The sequence below is a fragment of the Homo sapiens genome, chromosome 20 (assembly GCF_000001405.40).
Source record: "Homo sapiens chromosome 20, GRCh38.p14 Primary Assembly".
Classification (NCBI taxonomy): domain Eukaryota; kingdom Metazoa; phylum Chordata; class Mammalia; order Primates; family Hominidae; genus Homo; species Homo sapiens.
Genome location: NC_000020.11, coordinates 47,405,882 through 47,422,158, shown reverse-complemented (window position 1 = coordinate 47,422,158; position 16,277 = coordinate 47,405,882). Strand labels below are relative to the sequence as shown.

At 47.5% G+C, this 16,277-nt stretch overlaps 1 long non-coding RNA gene across 3 annotated transcripts in view, besides 5 other annotated features; it reads left to right on the top strand.

Annotated features, from left to right (window-relative positions):
- Window positions 5,605-6,104: an enhancer, noted in NCBI's record as "H3K4me1 hESC enhancer chr20:46044799-46045298 (GRCh37/hg19 assembly coordinates)". NCBI's record gives its function as "activates a minimal SCP1, AML or CMV promoter by ChIP-STARR-seq in naive H9 embryonic stem cells {active_cell/tissue: H9 hESC(naive)}" and the evidence as "EXISTENCE:reporter gene assay evidence [ECO:0000049][PMID:30033119]".
- Window positions 6,331-6,380: a silencer, noted in NCBI's record as "silent region_12977". NCBI's record gives its function as "represses an Ori minimal core promoter by ATAC-STARR-seq in GM12878 lymphoblastoid cells {active_cell/tissue: GM12878}" and the evidence as "EXISTENCE:reporter gene assay evidence [ECO:0000049][PMID:35858748]".
- Window positions 7,422-7,471: an enhancer, noted in NCBI's record as "active region_17994". NCBI's record gives its function as "activates an Ori minimal core promoter by ATAC-STARR-seq in GM12878 lymphoblastoid cells {active_cell/tissue: GM12878}" and the evidence as "EXISTENCE:reporter gene assay evidence [ECO:0000049][PMID:35858748]".
- Window positions 9,205-9,364: an enhancer, noted in NCBI's record as "active region_17993". NCBI's record gives its function as "activates an Ori minimal core promoter by ATAC-STARR-seq in GM12878 lymphoblastoid cells {active_cell/tissue: GM12878}" and the evidence as "EXISTENCE:reporter gene assay evidence [ECO:0000049][PMID:35858748]".
- Window positions 10,015-16,277, top strand: part of LINC01754 (long intergenic non-protein coding RNA 1754) — a 29,379-nt gene continuing 23,116 nt past the window's right edge. The window contains exons 1-2 of one of the 3 annotated variants that reach the window (NR_146494.1): window positions 10,765-10,891; window positions 15,236-15,376. This is a non-coding gene — a long non-coding RNA (long intergenic non-protein coding RNA 1754). Of the gene's footprint in view, window positions 10,090-10,764; window positions 10,892-15,235; window positions 15,377-16,277 lie in introns of those variants that run through there. The other 2 variants (NR_146496.1, NR_146495.1) reach the window with 2 other exon arrangements.
- Window positions 11,562-11,751: an enhancer, noted in NCBI's record as "active region_17992". NCBI's record gives its function as "activates an Ori minimal core promoter by ATAC-STARR-seq in GM12878 lymphoblastoid cells {active_cell/tissue: GM12878}" and the evidence as "EXISTENCE:reporter gene assay evidence [ECO:0000049][PMID:35858748]".

Here is a 16,277-nt window from a genome sequence, read left to right as displayed (position 1 = left end):
GCAAGACAGGGACGTGGGCCCAATGTGGCCTGATCCTCTGATTTTCTTAAGATTAGAAATGGGGAGGAGATGGGTCTCAGAAAGTCATTTGTGGCCAGGCACAGTGGCTCACACCTGTGATCCCAATACTTTGGGAAGCTGAGGCAGGCAGATCGCTTGAGCCCAGGAGTTCAAGCCCAGCCTGGGCAACAAAGTGAGACCTCATCTCTACAAAAAATAAAATAATTAGCCAGGTATGGTGGCTTACAACTGTTATCTCAGCTACTCGGGAGACAGAGGCAGGAAGATTACCTGCGCCCAGGAGTTCAAGGCTGCAGTGAGCTGTATTCACACCACTGCACTCCAGCCTGGGCAAATTAATTAATAATTATTAATTAATTTTTTTTGAGACAGAGTCTCACTCTGTTGCCTAGGCTGGCGTGCAGTGGCACAATCTCAGCTCACTGCAGCCTCTGCCTCCCAGGTTCAAGTGATTCTCTGCCTTGGCCTCCTGAGTAGCTGGGATTATAAGCACCCGCGACCACGCCTGCCAAATTTTTGTATTTTTAGTAGAGACGGGGTTTCACCATGTTGCCCAGTCTGGTCTCGAACTCCTGACCTCAACTGATCCGCCCACCTCAGCCTCCCAAAGTGTTGGGATTACAGACTTGAGCCACCGCACCCAGCCCTAATTATTAATTTAATACATAAAATAAAGCCATTTGTGGCCAGGCACAGTGGCTCATGCCACTATTGCACGGAGTCTGTCCCTAGTCAGCTTCTGCAGGAACTCAACTCAAGACACCACCTTTCTGAAGGTCCCACCTGACACCCCAGCTGGGGGCTGATGGTTGGAGCCAGAGAGAGGCTGTGGAGTGGGAGGAGGCTGAACTTTCCCAGCTGAAAAGCAGATGCCCGCAGCACACAGGGCCTCTCAGAGGTTGAGAGAAGACCAAGGCACTTCTGTTTTTTAAAGGTCTCACTTAATGAAAAAGAAAAAAGCAGAAAAACCAAATAGGGTTACCAACACTGTTGTTGATTTTTAAAACTCGGTCCTGTCAGAGGGGATGTGCACATCTTGGTGGGAGGCCCTCTCTGGATGGGAGGCCTGGGCCCTGGGCCCTGTGAAAAGTCCCAAGATCCTTTTTTTTTTTTTTTTTTTTGAGACAGGGTCTTGCTTTGTTACCCAGGCTGGAGGACAATGGTATAATCACAGCTCACTGCAGCCTCAATTTCTCAGGCTCAACCAAACCTCCTGCCTCAGCCTCCTGAGTAGCTGAGACCACAGGTATGCACCATGACACCTGGCTAATTTTTTTTTTTTTTTTTTTTTTGTAGAAATGGGGGTTTGGGGCCGGGCACGGTGGTTCACGCCTATAATCCGAGCATTTTGGGAGGCCGAGGTGGGTGGATCACCTGAGGTCAGGAGTTCAAAACCAGCCTGGCCAACACGGTGAAACCCCCATCTCTACCAATAATAGAAAAATTAGCTGGGTGTGGTGGTGGGTGCCTGTAATCTCAGCTACTCAGGAGGCTGAGGCAGGAGAATCTCTTGAACCCAGGAGGCTGAGGTTGCAGTGAGCTGAGCTCACTCCACTGCATTCTAGCCTGGGCAACAGAGTGAGACTCTGTCTTTAAAAATAATAACAATAATGAAATGGGGGTTTTGCCGTGTTGCCCAGGCTGGTCTCGAACTCCTGGGCTCAAGTGATTTTCCCACATCAGCCTCCCAAAATGCTGGGATTACAGGCATGAGCCATTGCTCTCCCAGCCCTGAGATCCTATTTCTAGTCCCTCTGTGCAGGGAGGGAGTGCTCAGAGCAGTGGAGCAGGAGGGACAGGGAAGATGGGGATGCTGGAAATCATTCCTCCTCCTCTCTGCTTGCCCTTCCGTGAACTCCTTCCCTCTCCTAGGCCCCTCTACTTGAGCATCTTAATCTGATTCTACAGAGTAATGTAGTTAGGGGCATCCCTCTCTTCCTGCCCCAGGTCTCCCAGCACACATCTTTCCTGAAATTGACAGAAGGAAGCAAGAGCCCATCTGTGACACAGGGCAGCCATGCACAGTGCAGGCTCTATGCAGACAAGCAAAGTCATCTGGTTTGAAGTGGCCTTCTTGATCAGGAACCACCCCTTCCCTACATCTCATAACGTAAGGGGACATTTTAACCCGCGTGTAAGATGCTGGTTAACTCACGTTTGGGAAACCCAGTTTGCTGCTGTGTTCCCAGCTGCGCCTGGAACAGCCCCTCTCTTCAGGTGATGACAGACAGTGTAGTTTGGTTTTATGGCTCTAGTCTAAGAACTGCTTAAATTGATGCCTGCTTTCACCCCAGCACCGCCTTCCTTTTGAGCCCCTACTACGTGGGGACAATTTGCATATTAAGAAAGAGGTAGTCCGGGCACAGCAGCTTACGCCTGTAATCCTACCACTTTGGGAGGCAGAGGCAGGAGGATTGATTGAGGCCAGGAGTTCAAGACCAGCCTGGACAACATAGTGAGACCCCTGTCTCTATTAAAAATTTGAAAATTAGCCAGTTGTGGTCAGGCGCGGTGGCTCACGCCTGCAATCCCAGCACTTTGGGAGGCCGAGGCAGGCGGATCACCTGAGGTCAGGAGTTCGACACCAGCCTGGTCAACATGATGAAACCCCGTCTCTACTTAAAATATTTTTTTAAAAAATGCCAGGCGCTGTGGCTCAACGCCTGTAATCTCAACACTTTGGGAGGCTGAGGTGGATGGATCACGAGGTCAGGAGTTCGAGACCAGCCTGGCCAATATGGTGAAACCCCCTCTCTGCTAAAAACACAAGAATTAGCTGGGCATGGTGGCTCGCGCCTGTAGTCCCAGCTACTTGGGAGGCTGAGGCAGAAGAATCGCTTGAACCCAGGAGGGGGAGGTTGTAGTGAGCCAAGATCGTACCACTGCATTTCAGCCTGGGTGACAGAGAGAAACTCCATCTCAAAAAAAAAAAAAAAAAATTAGCCAGGCGTGGTGGCAGGCATCTGTAATCCCAGCTACTTGGGAGGCTGAGGCAGGAGAATCACTTGAACCCGGGAGGCAGAGGTTGCAGTGACCCGAGATCGTGCCATTGCACTCCAGCCCGGGTGACAGAGCGAGACCCAGTCTCAAAAAAAAAAAAAAAAAAAAAAAAATTAGCCAGTTGTGGTGGCTGGCACATGCCTGTGGTCCCAGCTACTCGGGAGGCTGAGGGGAGGATTGTTTGAGCCCAGGAGGTCGAGGCTGCAGTGAGCCATGATCACACAACTGCACTCCAGCCTGGGTGACAGAGCGAGATCCTAGCTCAAAAAAATAAATAAATAAAAAATAAATAAATAAATAAAAAAGGAAGGAAGGAAAGGAGGGAGGGAGGGAGGGAGGAAGGAAGCCGCTAGCATTTAACAGTGCAGGGGCTGAGGGCAGGCTGGCCAATGAGAAAGTTATCTGTGAAGAAAGAAGGGAGGGAGAGATTCTTGGTCCTGTCTGATGGTCTCAGGGCTAAGGGAGGGAGGATGCTGGGAATTATATGGAAAGAACATCTTGAATTGGAAACATTTTATTTCCTGGATTTTCACATCAAGGGTGCATTACAAAAAAAAAAAAGTGGATGATTATTCTTGCTGTTATAAGAACCGGAGTTCACAATAAAATGAGGCCAAACTGCCTCTTTAACCTCCATGAATACTGTTGTCAATAACTGTGGAGATTTTTTTTGCTTTTCCGAATCACTGTAACTTTCCTTTCCTGGGGGCACGAAATGATGACTGTTGAGGCAATGCAGTGAGTGGTAATGTACATTGCAATGTTACTGTGCCAGAAGCATAAAGGATTTGATTTTTCCTTGGAAAGGTAGTAATTATTGTAGCATGAATCATCATTTTCTCTAACTTTTGCCTAATATTTTGGGAGGCTATTTCGTACTTTTCCAAATGTTTGCATTCATTTTCCTATTTGATCCCTACTGCAAGTAGGGAGAAATCTTTGCCTTAGTGTAATATTCTTTGACCTTAGCTCTAGACAAAAGCACTATCCTACCAACCAGTGCATTTAACAAAGATCAGCGAGCATTAAACAAAGACCAGCCGGCACCTTATATGATTCAGGGTCACGACCCTCATAGTGCCTTGGCTTTACTTCAAAGGGATCTGTACTTTGGAAGAAAAGTCAACTACCTAGACTTCTGTTCCTCCTTTGACCCAATAAGTTTCTCCCTTCTGCCCAAAGCCAAGCCTTGTCTTGCCTTCCTTTCTTTCTCTCCTTCCTTCCTTCCTTCCTTCCCTCCTTCCTTTCTTCCCTCCCTCCCTCCTTCCTTCCTTCTCTTTCTTTTCTTTTTAACAGGGTCTTGCTCTGTCACCCAGGCTTAGAATGCAGTGGCGCAATCTAAGCTCACTGAAGCCTCAACCTCCCGGGTTCAAGCAATCCTCCCACCTCAGCCACCCAAGTAGTTGGAACCACGGGCACACACCACCACGCAGCTAATTTTTTGTATTTTTTGTAGAGATGGAGTTTCACCATGTTGCTCAGGCTGGTCTCGAAATCCTGAGCTCAAGATCCTCCTGCCTCAGCCTCCCAAACTGCTGGGATTACAGGCATGAGCCACCATACCTGGCTGTTCTGATTTCTTGGGGCTAATTGTCAGTGCTCTTTGACCTCTGACCAGAGGAACTTTTCAAACCCCTCTCTGGCAGTGTTGTGCTGATAAAGAGGCTCTCCAAGGGAAAAACAAACAAACAAAACAGCCCTGGTTTGCAGCATTTGCCCATTTCTGTGGTGTAAATACTTCCACCATGGCTAATTTCAAGCTACCTACAGTGTACAACTGACTTAAGATTCCTGACTTTTTAGGAAGTGGCTCTCCGGAGCAGGGACAAGCCTATTTCGGCATTCTACTGCCTATGTCTGAAGCACAAGCAAGGTTATTCTCTACATTCTTTCTTTTTTTTTTTAGAGACAGGGTTTCACTGCAGCCTCAAACTCCTGGATTCAAGCAATCCTCCCACCTCAGGCTTCCAAGTAGCTGGGACTACAGGACCACTACACCTGGCTAGTTTATTTATTTTTTGTAGAGATGGGGTCTCACTGTGTTGCTCAAGCTGGCCTCAAACTCCTGGGCTCGAGGGATCCTCCCACCTCAGCCTCCCAAAGTGCAATTTCTTATTAATAGGCAGCTGTGCCACTTCTAATCTTTTGCCTGCTCTACCAAAGCTGTGAAAAATAACCTTGCTGTCACAGTGAAAAGTGGGTGAAGGGTGCTCCAGGCAGAGGGGAGGATATGAACAGAGGCTTGCCGTGGACACCTGTTGTTTTTGCCTGCCTGCGGCTATTTCCCTTCTTGATTGCCAGTGTTCATGTTTCAGATGGGGCAGATTCCCCCACCAGTGCTGGTGGGAGGGTGTGAGGCACAAGACCCAAGGCTGACTGATCAGTGAAGCCTACCCTACTGATCACAGCGATTGGTTCAGGGATGGTTGTGTCACGCCAGCTGATTCAATGAGCCTTATCCACAGGGCCTTCTTCTTTTTTTTTTTTTTGAGACAGAATAGTCTCGCCCTGCAGCCCAGGCTGGAGTGCAGTGGCGCAGTCTCAGCTCACTGCAACCTCTGCCTCCTGGGTTCAAGCGATTCTCCTGCCTCAGCCTCCCAAGTAGCTGGGACTACAAGTTTGCACCACCACACCCAGCTAATTTTTGTGTTTTTAGTAGAGACAGGGTTTCACCATGTTGGCCAGATGGTCTCAATCTCTTGACCTCGTGATCCGCCCAACTTGGCCTCCCAAAGTGTTGGGATTACAGGCATGAGCCATTGCACCTGGCCCACAGGACCTTTTTCTAGAGCAATAAAGAGGAAATGAGAGTCCTCTTTCCACCTGGATGGCTAATTAGGCTGCAACCTTAGGACCATCCTTCCATCCCTTTGGGAGAGACTGAGAATGAAGATAATGCAGTGGAGACTAGGGGCAGCCAAGGGAGACTAGAGCCATCTATGTCTGAATCCACCTTCTTGGGTCCGTCCTTTCTTTCTTTCTTTTCTTTTCTTTTCTTTCCTTTTCTTTTCTTTCTTTCTTTCTTTCTTTCTTTCTTTCTTTCTTTCTTTCTTTCCTTCCTTCCTTCCTCCTTCCTCCTTCCTCCTTCCTCCTTCCTCCTTCATTCCTTCCTTCCTCCCTCCCTTCCTTCCTCCCTTCCTTCCTTCCTTTCACAGAGTTTCACTCTTGTTGCCCAGGCTGGAGTGCAATGGCGCGATCTCGGCTCACCGCAACCTCCGCCTCCCAGGTTCAAGCAATTCTCCTGCCTCAGTCTCCCGAGTAGCTGGGATTACAGACGCACACCACCATGCCTGGCTAATTTTTGTATTTTTAGTAGAGACGGGGGTTTCACCATGTTAGCCAGGCTGGTCTCGAACCTGACCTCAGGTGATCCGCCCACCTCAGCCTCCCAAAGTGCTGGGATTACAGGCGTGAGCCACCACGCCCGGCCTTCTTGGGACTTTTCGGTTGTATGAGCCTAATACACTCTAAAGGCTTAGTCCAGTTCGAGTTGGGTTTCTGTCACTTGAAACTGAAAGAGTTCTGACTAACCCAGTCCGAGGCCGGAAAGGGCTTGGTGCAACTTGGAGGAAGTGAAAGAAGGCACAGAGACCAAGGGGAAGAGCGGTACCAGAAAACTGGCTACAGGCCAGGTCACGGAGGAACTTGTAGGCCACGATGAGCATTTTGGTTTTTAACTCAGTGAACTGGGCCTGGTCTGAAGCAGGAAAGTCACATGAAAATGGCTTCTTCAGGGACACGGGACATTGAAACATGTGGTTATTAGCTTATCAGAGCCAACAAACATTCTGGCTCCCAGTGTGTCAGGTTGAAATTCTGCTGCGAGGGGCACCAGCTGCTAGGATTTTTGTGTCCAAACACCTGCAGTGATCTTTCTTTGATTATGAGCTATCAGAAAACGGGCAGAATAATACAAAAGTATTTCGGGGATAATAGCTACAGGAAATTACTGATCCATTCCTGTTTTTTTGTTTTTGTTTTTGTTTTTGTTTTAAGAAAGGACAAAACTGTGTGTGTGTGTATTGATTATTGTGTTGATTGGACTATTACACCAAACTGGTAATTGCGATAGAAGAGTGGGCTTTCTTCTTTGTACACTTCTTTTTTTTTTTTTTTTGAGACAAAGTTTTGCTCTGTCACCCAGGCTGAAGTGCAGTGGTGTGATCTTGGCTCGCTGCAAGCTCCACCTCCCAGGTTCAAGCTATTCTCCTGCCTCAGCCTCCTGAGAAGCTGAGATTGTAAGTGTGTGCCACCATGCGTTGCTAATTTTTGTATTTTTATTAGAGACGGGGTTTCGCCATGTTGGTCAGGCTGGTCTTGAACTCCTGACCTCAGGTGATCCACCCGCCTTGGCCTCCCAAAGTGCTGGGATTACAGATGTGAGCCACTGTATCCGGCTGTCTGTTAAATTTTTTAAAACATATATCTTTTTCCCTTTCCATAATGTAGGTCCTATATTATAGAGCAGAGGTTAACAAACTTTCTCTGTAAAGGGTGCCAGAGAGTAAATATTTTAGGCTTTCTGGGCCATGCAGTCTCTGAATGACTCCATTCAGCTGGGGTACTGCAAAAGCAGCTACAGACATTATGTAAATGAATGAGTTTGCTGTGTTCCTGCAAAACTTTGTTTACAAAACAGGTGCCAGGCCAGGCAAGGTGGTTCATGCCCGTAATCCCAGCACTTTGGGAGGCCGAGGCGGGTGGATCATCTGAGGTCAGGAGTTCAAGACCAGCCTAGGCAACATGGTAAAACCCCGTCTCTACTAAAAATATAAAAATTAGCCGGGCATGGTGGGGCGTGCCTGTAGTCCCAGCTACTCGAGAGGCCGAGACAGGAGAATCACTTGAACCTGGGAGGCAGAGGTTGCAGTGAGCCAAGATCACACCACTGCACTCAAGCCTGGGCAACAGAGGGAGACTCCATCTAAAATAAATAAATAAATAAATAAATAAACAAACAAACAAACAAACAAACAAACAAAAACAAAAACAGGTGCCAGACTGGGTTTGGTTTTCTGTGGGCCTTGGTTTGCTGACCAGTGTTATAGAAAAGACAACATATAAGGATATATAAGGTGGCCGGGCATGGTGGCTCACACCTATAATCCCAGCACTTTGGGAGTCCAAGGTGGTGGATCGCTTGAACTCAGGAGTTCGAGACCAGCTTGGGCAACATGGTGAAACCCTCTCTCTACCAAAAATACAAAAAATTAGCCAGGCATGGTGGTGTATGCCTATGTTACCAACTACTCAGGAGGCTGAGGTGTGAGGTTGAGGTTATAGTGAGGGAGGTAGAGGCCGGGAAGGTAGAGGTTGCAGTGAGCTGAGTTTACACCACTGCACTCCAGCCTGAGTGACAGAGCGAGAACCCTGTCTCAAAACAAACAAGCAAACAAACAAACAAAGGATATATAATTTTATATTATAAGGATATATTTACCAAGATGTTTGTTGCAGTTTTTTGGGTTTGTTTTTTTTTTTTTGGAGACAGGATCTCTGTCTGTCTGTATGATTGATGGAGACCTGGTTTTTCCCATTCAGCAACTATTCGCCCCCCAAATCGTGACAACAGCACCCGATTTCCCTTCCCCACCTTCAGTCCCTGTGGAATGCATGGGGTGCCTCAACTGCCTCTGTTCAACAGGAGACACATGAGCCAGCATTGTGTTTGAGCTGGCTCGAACTAGCTCACTAGAGCTGATGGGACATGACAAGAGTTCTGTAAACCGGTTGACACTACATTGGTAATTGAAATCGGCTATGGTTTCAAGCTAATGGGGGTACTTACATCATAGAAATCAGGAAACACTACAAATCAAAACTTTTATTTTCTCAAAAAGACTATTGTTAGACATTTATCAACACACCACTGCGTTTAGCTCAGATCTGGTCAATCAGAGGGCCACAGCTTCCTGGCCGTAGAGCAGGACTGGGCACAGAACTCAAGCAAGACCATGAAAGTCAGCTCAGGTGTTAGAAAGGATGCTCTGTTCTACTGGGGCTCCTGGACTGGTAGGATTAAGCCCACAGTTGTGAGAAGCCACTAATAGAGGATATAAGGTGTAAGGAACTAAAAGATGGTGAAAGTTCAAGTCCTGTTGACATTATTTGAGGCCCTTGATTCAGCATTGCCTAAAACTAGAATGTCCCCTGTGCTACAAGCCAGTACATGTACTACATTCTCTTTCTAGCATATACTGCTGGTGCCCTATAGCAAATCCCCTTGGCCTGCTTCTGAGATTAGCTACAACTATGATGGACAGGCTGGCAGCTCCCACCTCACACACACATCTGTTTCTCTTCTTCTTCTTCTTCTTTTTTGAGAGAGTCTCACTCTGTCACCCAAGCTAAACTGTAGTGGCGTGATCTCAGCTCACTGCAACTTCCGCCTCCTGGGCTCAGGTGATCCTCCCACACTAGTCTCTTTTTTATTATTTTGAGATGGAGTCTCATTCTGTTGCATAGGCTGGAGGGCAGTGGGGTGATCTCGGCTCACTGACACCTCCACCTCCCAGGTTCAAGTGATTCTCCTAACTCAGCCTCCCAAGTAGCTGAGATTACAGGTGCAAGCCACCACGCCCAGCTAATTTTTGTATTTTTAGTAGAGATGGGGTTTTGCCATGTTGGCCAGCCTGGTCTTGAACTCCTGACCTCAAGTAATCCACTTGCCTCAGCCTCCCAAAGTGCTGGGTTTACAGGCATGAGCCACCGCATCTGACTGTTTTTCTTTTCTCTTGAGGCAAAGTCTTGCTCTGTTGCCCAGGCTGCTGGCAGTGGCATGATCACAGCTCACTGCAGCCTCAACCTCCTAGACTCGAGCAATTTTCTCACTTCAGCCTCCTGAGTTGCTGGGACCACAGGTGCACGCACCACCCCCTGGCTTTTATTTTTTTATTTTTTTTATTTTTTGGCAGAGACAGTGTCGCCTTATGTTGCCCAGGCTGAACACCTGTGTCTCTTAACCTAAGAGCTGTCTCCAGCACAGGATGCAAGACAGCCCCAAAAAAGTGTTAGGGACTTAAAGCCACCAGAAGCTTTTCTTAACCAATGGAATACAGGAGTCAATGGGTAAGTACCCCAGCTTCTCAGTTCCCTGGAGGGACAATTGTGATTTGGGGTTTTTTGGGTTTTTTTCCTACCTACATCAAAAAAGGAATGCAGAAAATATGTCCACCATATATTCTACAGCTCAGGGAATTTTTTTTTAAGACTGGATGAGGGCCAGGCGCGGTGGCTCACGCCTGTAATCCCAGCACTTTGGGAGGCCGAGGCGGGCGGATCACAAGGTCAGGAGATCAAGACCATCCTGGCTAACACGGTGAAACCCCGTCTCTACTAAAAAAAAATACAAAAAATTAGCCGGGTGTGGTGGTGGGTGCCTGTAGTCCTAGCTACTCGGGAGGTTGAGGCAAGAGAATGGCATGAACCCGGGAGGCAGAGCTTGCAGTGAGCTGAGATCACGCCACTGCACTCCAGCCTGGGCGACAGAGTGAGACTCCATCTCAAAAAAAAAAAAAAAAAAAAAAGACTGGATGAGGCTCTCTAACCCAGATGCATACCAGGTTTTGAGGCTCAGAGCTTAGTGAAACTAAGCCTTGTGTCCCACAAAATTCTGATGCTCATGCAAGAAATATCCAACTGGGGAGGATACTCTGTCCGTGGACTGATTTGCCCAGGCACAAATTCAGGCTGAAAATAGCAAACTAAAGTTAGCCGAGATGTTCTGCCTTGTGGCCTCCTTCAGGAACATCCTGTCCAGAGGAAAGGATATTTAAGGAGAAAGGAAGCAGCACAAGTTCGACTCAGCCAAGAAACAGAGGAAGGACATCCCAAGCACGAAGTGGGGCACCAGTCTGTGTTCCAGCGAGAGGTGGGGGATAAACAACCATGAAACATCTACTGTGTGTGTGTATTCATGTATTTTACAGATATTCTCTTCTCTCACTTTGTCCTTTATGTTTTTAATTTTCCTTAAACTTCTTGTTCTCTCTGTTCACTTACACATTGGTTTTTGTTTGTTTGTTTGTTTGTTTGTTTGTTTGTTTTGGGACGGAGTCTTGCTCTGTCGCCCAGGCTGAAGTGCAGTGGCATGATATCAGCTCACTGCAACCTCTGCCTCCGAGGTTCAAGTGATTCTTCTGCCTCAGCCTCTCAAGTAGCTGGGATTACAGGTGCCTGCCACTACACCTGGCCAATTTTTGTATTTTTAGTAGAGATGGGGTTTCACCATGTTGGCCAGGCTGTTCTCCAACTCCTGACCTCAAGTGATCCGCCCACCTTGGCCTCCCAAAGTGCTGGGATTACAGGCATGAGCCACTGCACCCAGCTTACTGATCTGATCGTGGAAGCACAGTTGGTCAGTGCATTTTGCTACAATGATTTGGGGTTTGTATTTGGAGACTCATTTGCAAGAAATATAGGCACATCCTAAACTAGCCTGAACAAAAAGTTTGGAGGACATCAGGTGAACCTGAACCCAGGGGCTCAACATGGCTGGTTTCCATTTCTCTATCATCTCTCGGTTCTTCTCCAAGTTGGCTTTCCTCTCCTGTAGCTTTGCCTACCTGCTGGTTCTGGGGTTATTTCTCACCAGCACAGCAACACCAATGGAAAGGGAAAATACCCCTGACAATAGTTCCAAGAACAAACTGAGGAGGGCTTCGTTGGCTCAGTCTGAGTTACCATAAGCCAATCACTTAGCCAGGAAGATATAATGTTTTTTGGGGTTTTTTTGGTGGGGAGACGGAGTTTCACTCTTGTTGCCCAGGCTGGAGTGCAGTGGCACAATCCCGGCTCACTGCAGCTTCCACCTCCCGGGTTCAAGTGATTATCCCATCTCAGCCACCAAGTAGCTGGGACTATGCCACCACACCCAGCTACTTTCTTTTTCTTTCTTTCTTTATCTTCTTTTTTTTTTTTGTATTTTTAGTAGAGATGGGGTTTCACCATGTTAGTCAGGCTGGTCTCAAACTCCTGACCTCAAATGATCCACCTGCCTCAGCCTCCCAAAGTGCTGGGATTACAGGCGTTGAGCCACAGCACCCGGCCAAACCATTTGAAAGTATACAATTCAGGCCGGGCACAGTGGCTCACACCTGTAATCCCAGCACTTTGGGAGGCCAAGGTGGGCAGATCACGAGGTCAGGAGACCAGCCTGACCAACATGGTGAAACCCCATCTCTACTAAAAATAACAAAAATTAGCTGGGCATGGTGGTGCATGTCTGTAATTCCAGCTACTCAGTAGGCTGAGGCAGGAGAATCGCTTGAAGGGAGGCGGAGGTTGCAGTGAGCTGAGATCATGAGACTGCACTCTAGCCTGGGTGACAGAGCGAGACTCAGTCTCAAAAATAAATAAATAAAATGAAATAAAGTATACAATTCAGTGGCCTTTTCTTTTTCTCAACAGTGAATTTTATTTATTTATTTATTTAGACAGAGGCGAGGTTTCCCTTTGTTGCCCAGGCTGCTCAAACTCCTGGCCTCAAGTGATCCTTCTGCCTCAGCCTCCCAAAGTGCTGGGATTATAGGCATGAGCCACTGCACCTGGCCTGTCCCAGTAATATTTGTTGAAATACAAAATTGATTTTCTTCAATGAATTACCCTGGTGACTTTGTTGAAGATAATTTGGCCATATATGTGTCAGTCTCAGCTGGGCTTTCTTTTTCTTTCTTTTTTTTTTTTTTTTGAGACGGAGTCTTGATCTGTCTCCCAGGCTGGAGTGCAGTGGCGCATCTCCACTCACTGCAAGCTCCACCTCCCAGGTTCACACCATTCTTCTGCCTCAGCCTCCCAAGTAGATGGGACTACAGGCGCCCGTCACCACGCCCGGCTAATTTTTTGTATTTTTTTAGTAGAGACAGGGTTTCACGGTGTTAGCCAGGATGGTCTCGATCTCCTGACCTTGTGATCCGCCCGCCTCGGCCTCCCAAAGTGCTAGGATTACAGGCGTGAGCCACCGCACCCAGCTAGCTGGACTTTCTATTCTCTTCCACTAACCTATTTGTCTATCCTTCTTTATTTTGTTTTTTTATTTTGAGATGTGGTCTTTCTCTGTTGCCCAGGCTGGAGTGCAGTGGTAGGATTATAGCACACTGCAGCCTTGACCTCTTGTGCTCAAGCAATCCTCCTGCCTCAGCCCCTCACGTAGCTGGGACCACAGGTACATGCCACCACACCCAGCTAATTTTTTGTAGAGATGGCATCTTGTTGTGCTACCCAAGCCGGTCTTGAACTCCTGGGCTCAAGCAATCCTCCCACCTCAGCCTCACAAAGTCCTGGGATTACAGGCATGAGCCATCATGCCCTACAAATCTTTCTGTTACCTTTTCAAATATGTAAATTGTCCATGGATACCCAATCATACAACACAATTGCCCTTGTTCATACAAGTATTTTCTGAGTCTAATTTGTGCCAGTCATTGGGCATACAGTGGTGCTCAGGACCCAGCACCTTCCCTGGCCTCATGGAGCTTGAGGTAGTAAACATCTGCTGGTTTTGCCTGCTCAAAATCCTCCCTGCTTCAAGCAACAACTTCCTCCTCTCCACTGGAAAGCCACTGCCCATCCACTCTCACCCCACGTGTTCAGAGAAGGCTGACCTCAACATTCCCTTCAAAAGGTGGATGCATAGGCCAGGTGCGGTGGCTCATGCCTGTGATCCCAGCACTTTGGGAGGCCGAGGCAGGTGAATCACCAGGTCAGGGGTTCAAGACCAGCCTGGCCAACATAGTGAAACCCTGTCTCTACTAAAAATACAAAAATTAGCCAGGCATGGTGGTGCACACCTGTAATCCCAGCTATTCAGGAGGGTGAGGCAGGAGAATCGCTTGAACCCAGGAGGTGGAGGTTGCAGTGAGCTGAGATCGTGCCATTGCACTCCAGCCTGGGCAACAGAGCGAGACTGTCTCAAAAACCAACAAACAAAAAAAGGTGGATGCATGATCCAGGTTTGGCGACATTTTTCTAGACCTGCCAGTAAGATGTAGTTTTCTATACTCTGGTTTTTGAAGTTGGGGAGCTACAGGGGGCACTATTGCCTGAGATTCTCCTCCTGAGAAGCCAACATGGAGGACATGAGGGTCTCCAGGGGGAGATCAACAAGTACTTACCCTGTGGCCATCATTCTGGCTGTGCCTGAAGCTCACGAGGCTCCTGGGATTTCCAATTCTATGAGTCAATAAATTTTGTTATAATTATAATTCTGTTTATCTTTTTACTTTTTTTTTTTTTTTGAGACTTTTTTTTGTCACCCAGGCTGAAGTGAGTGGTGCAATCTCCGTTCACTGCAACCTCCGCCTCCCGGGTTCAAGGGTTTCTCCCTGCCTCAGCCTCCCGAGTAGCTGGAACTACAGGCGCGTACCACCATGCCTGGCTAATTTTTGTATTTTTAGTAGAGATGGGGTTTCACCATGTTGGCCAGACTAACCTCAGGTGATCCGCCTGCCTCGGCCTCCCAAAGTGCCGCGGTGTGAGCCACTGCGCCCAGCCTTACCTTTTTACTTAACACCATTTGAGTTGAGCCTACTTGCCCTCTGCTCAATATAAAAGAGTTAATGCAGGCAAAAAGGACAAAGGCTGGGTCAACACAGGCATCTTGGGGCAATTCCTTGGCCAACTTTTGAGGCAATGGTTATGAATTCCCTCCTTTGAAGGCCTCTGTCTAGCCCCTCTATCCAATCAAATAACAAGTCCCTAGAGAACAGTATTTTTCACACTGAAGATTATGACCCACTAGTGAATCATGAAGTGAATTTATTGGGTTACAGCCAGCACTTTTTAAAAAAAGAAATAGAAAAGAATACAAAGAATAGAAAATATCAGAGGGCATTCCATGTTGCAAGCCTAAGTATTGTTAATAAAAATGTTTCTGTTGTGTGCATGTGTGTACTGAGTCACCATGTAAAATGTATTTGTTACTGTGGGACACGGTCGAATAGGCTGGAAAACCTCCGCTGTAGAGCAATCCGTGGCAGACTCTGTGGGCTGCCCACCCAATAACCCTCCCTGCCTTTCTCCTTGCTGAGAGAATTATGATTTTGTCCAATACCCCTCCCTGCCTTTCTCCTTGCTGAGAGAATTATGATTTTGTTAAGGAATGGAAGCAGCCATGTGTTTATAGGGAGGTTGAGCTGTGTGGAATTATGGGTGGGGGCTAAGCCTCTTTATAGCCCAGGGAGTGAGTGCTGTTGTTGTTGTTGTTGTTTTGAGACAGGGTCTTGCTGTGTCTCCCAGGATGGAGTGCAGTGGCACGATCATAGCTCACCACAGCCTCCACCTCCTGGGCTCAAATGATCCTCCCACCTCAGCCTCCCAAGCAGCTAGGACTACAAGTGCACACCACCACCACATCCAGGTAATTTTTTAAATTTTTATTTATTTTATTTTTTTGAGATGGAGTCTCGCACTGTCGCCCAGGCTGGAGTGCAGTGGTACAATCTTGGCTCACTGAACCTCCACCTCCAGGTTCAAGCAATTCTCCTGTCTCAGCCACCCAAGTAGTTGGAATTACAGGTGTGCGCCACCATGCCCAACTAATTTTGCTATTTTTAGTAGAGACAGGATTTCACCATGTTGGCCAGGCTGGTCTCGAATTCCTGCCCTCAAGTGATCCACCTGCCTCGGCCTCCCAAAGTGCTGGGATTACAGGCATGAACCACTACACTTGGCCTATTTTTATATTTTAGAGACGGAGTCTCAATATGTTGCTCAGGTCTCAAACTTCTGGGCTCAAGGGATCCTCAGAGAGTGAGTTTTAATCAATATAAGTCAGTGGTTCTCCAGTTGTGAATGCTGAATCCTCAAGACCTTTCCAAGAGGTCCACAAAGCCTTCTTTTTTGCAACAACATACATGTATGAGACCAGAATTTCTGTGTATTTAAAGCAAAACAGAATATCACAATGGGTTGAATGCAGAAGCAGGCATGAAAATCCAGCTTCTTCTGTTAAGCAGACATCAAAGAGATAATAGCAAAATGCAAAACAGGGCCACTTTGCCACTTGGAGGCCAAGGCCAGAGGATCGCTTGAGTCCCGGAGTTCAAGACCAGCCTGGGGAACACAGAAGGACCTTGTCTCTATAAAAATTATGAAGTAATTAGCTGGATGTGGTGCTGCAAGCCTGTGCTTCCTGGTACTCAGGATGCTGAGGAAGGAGGGTCGCTTCAGCCCAGGAGGTCGAGGCTGCAGGGAGCTATGATTGCATCACTGCACTCTAGCCTGGGAAACAGAGCAAGAACCTGTCTAAAACAAACAAA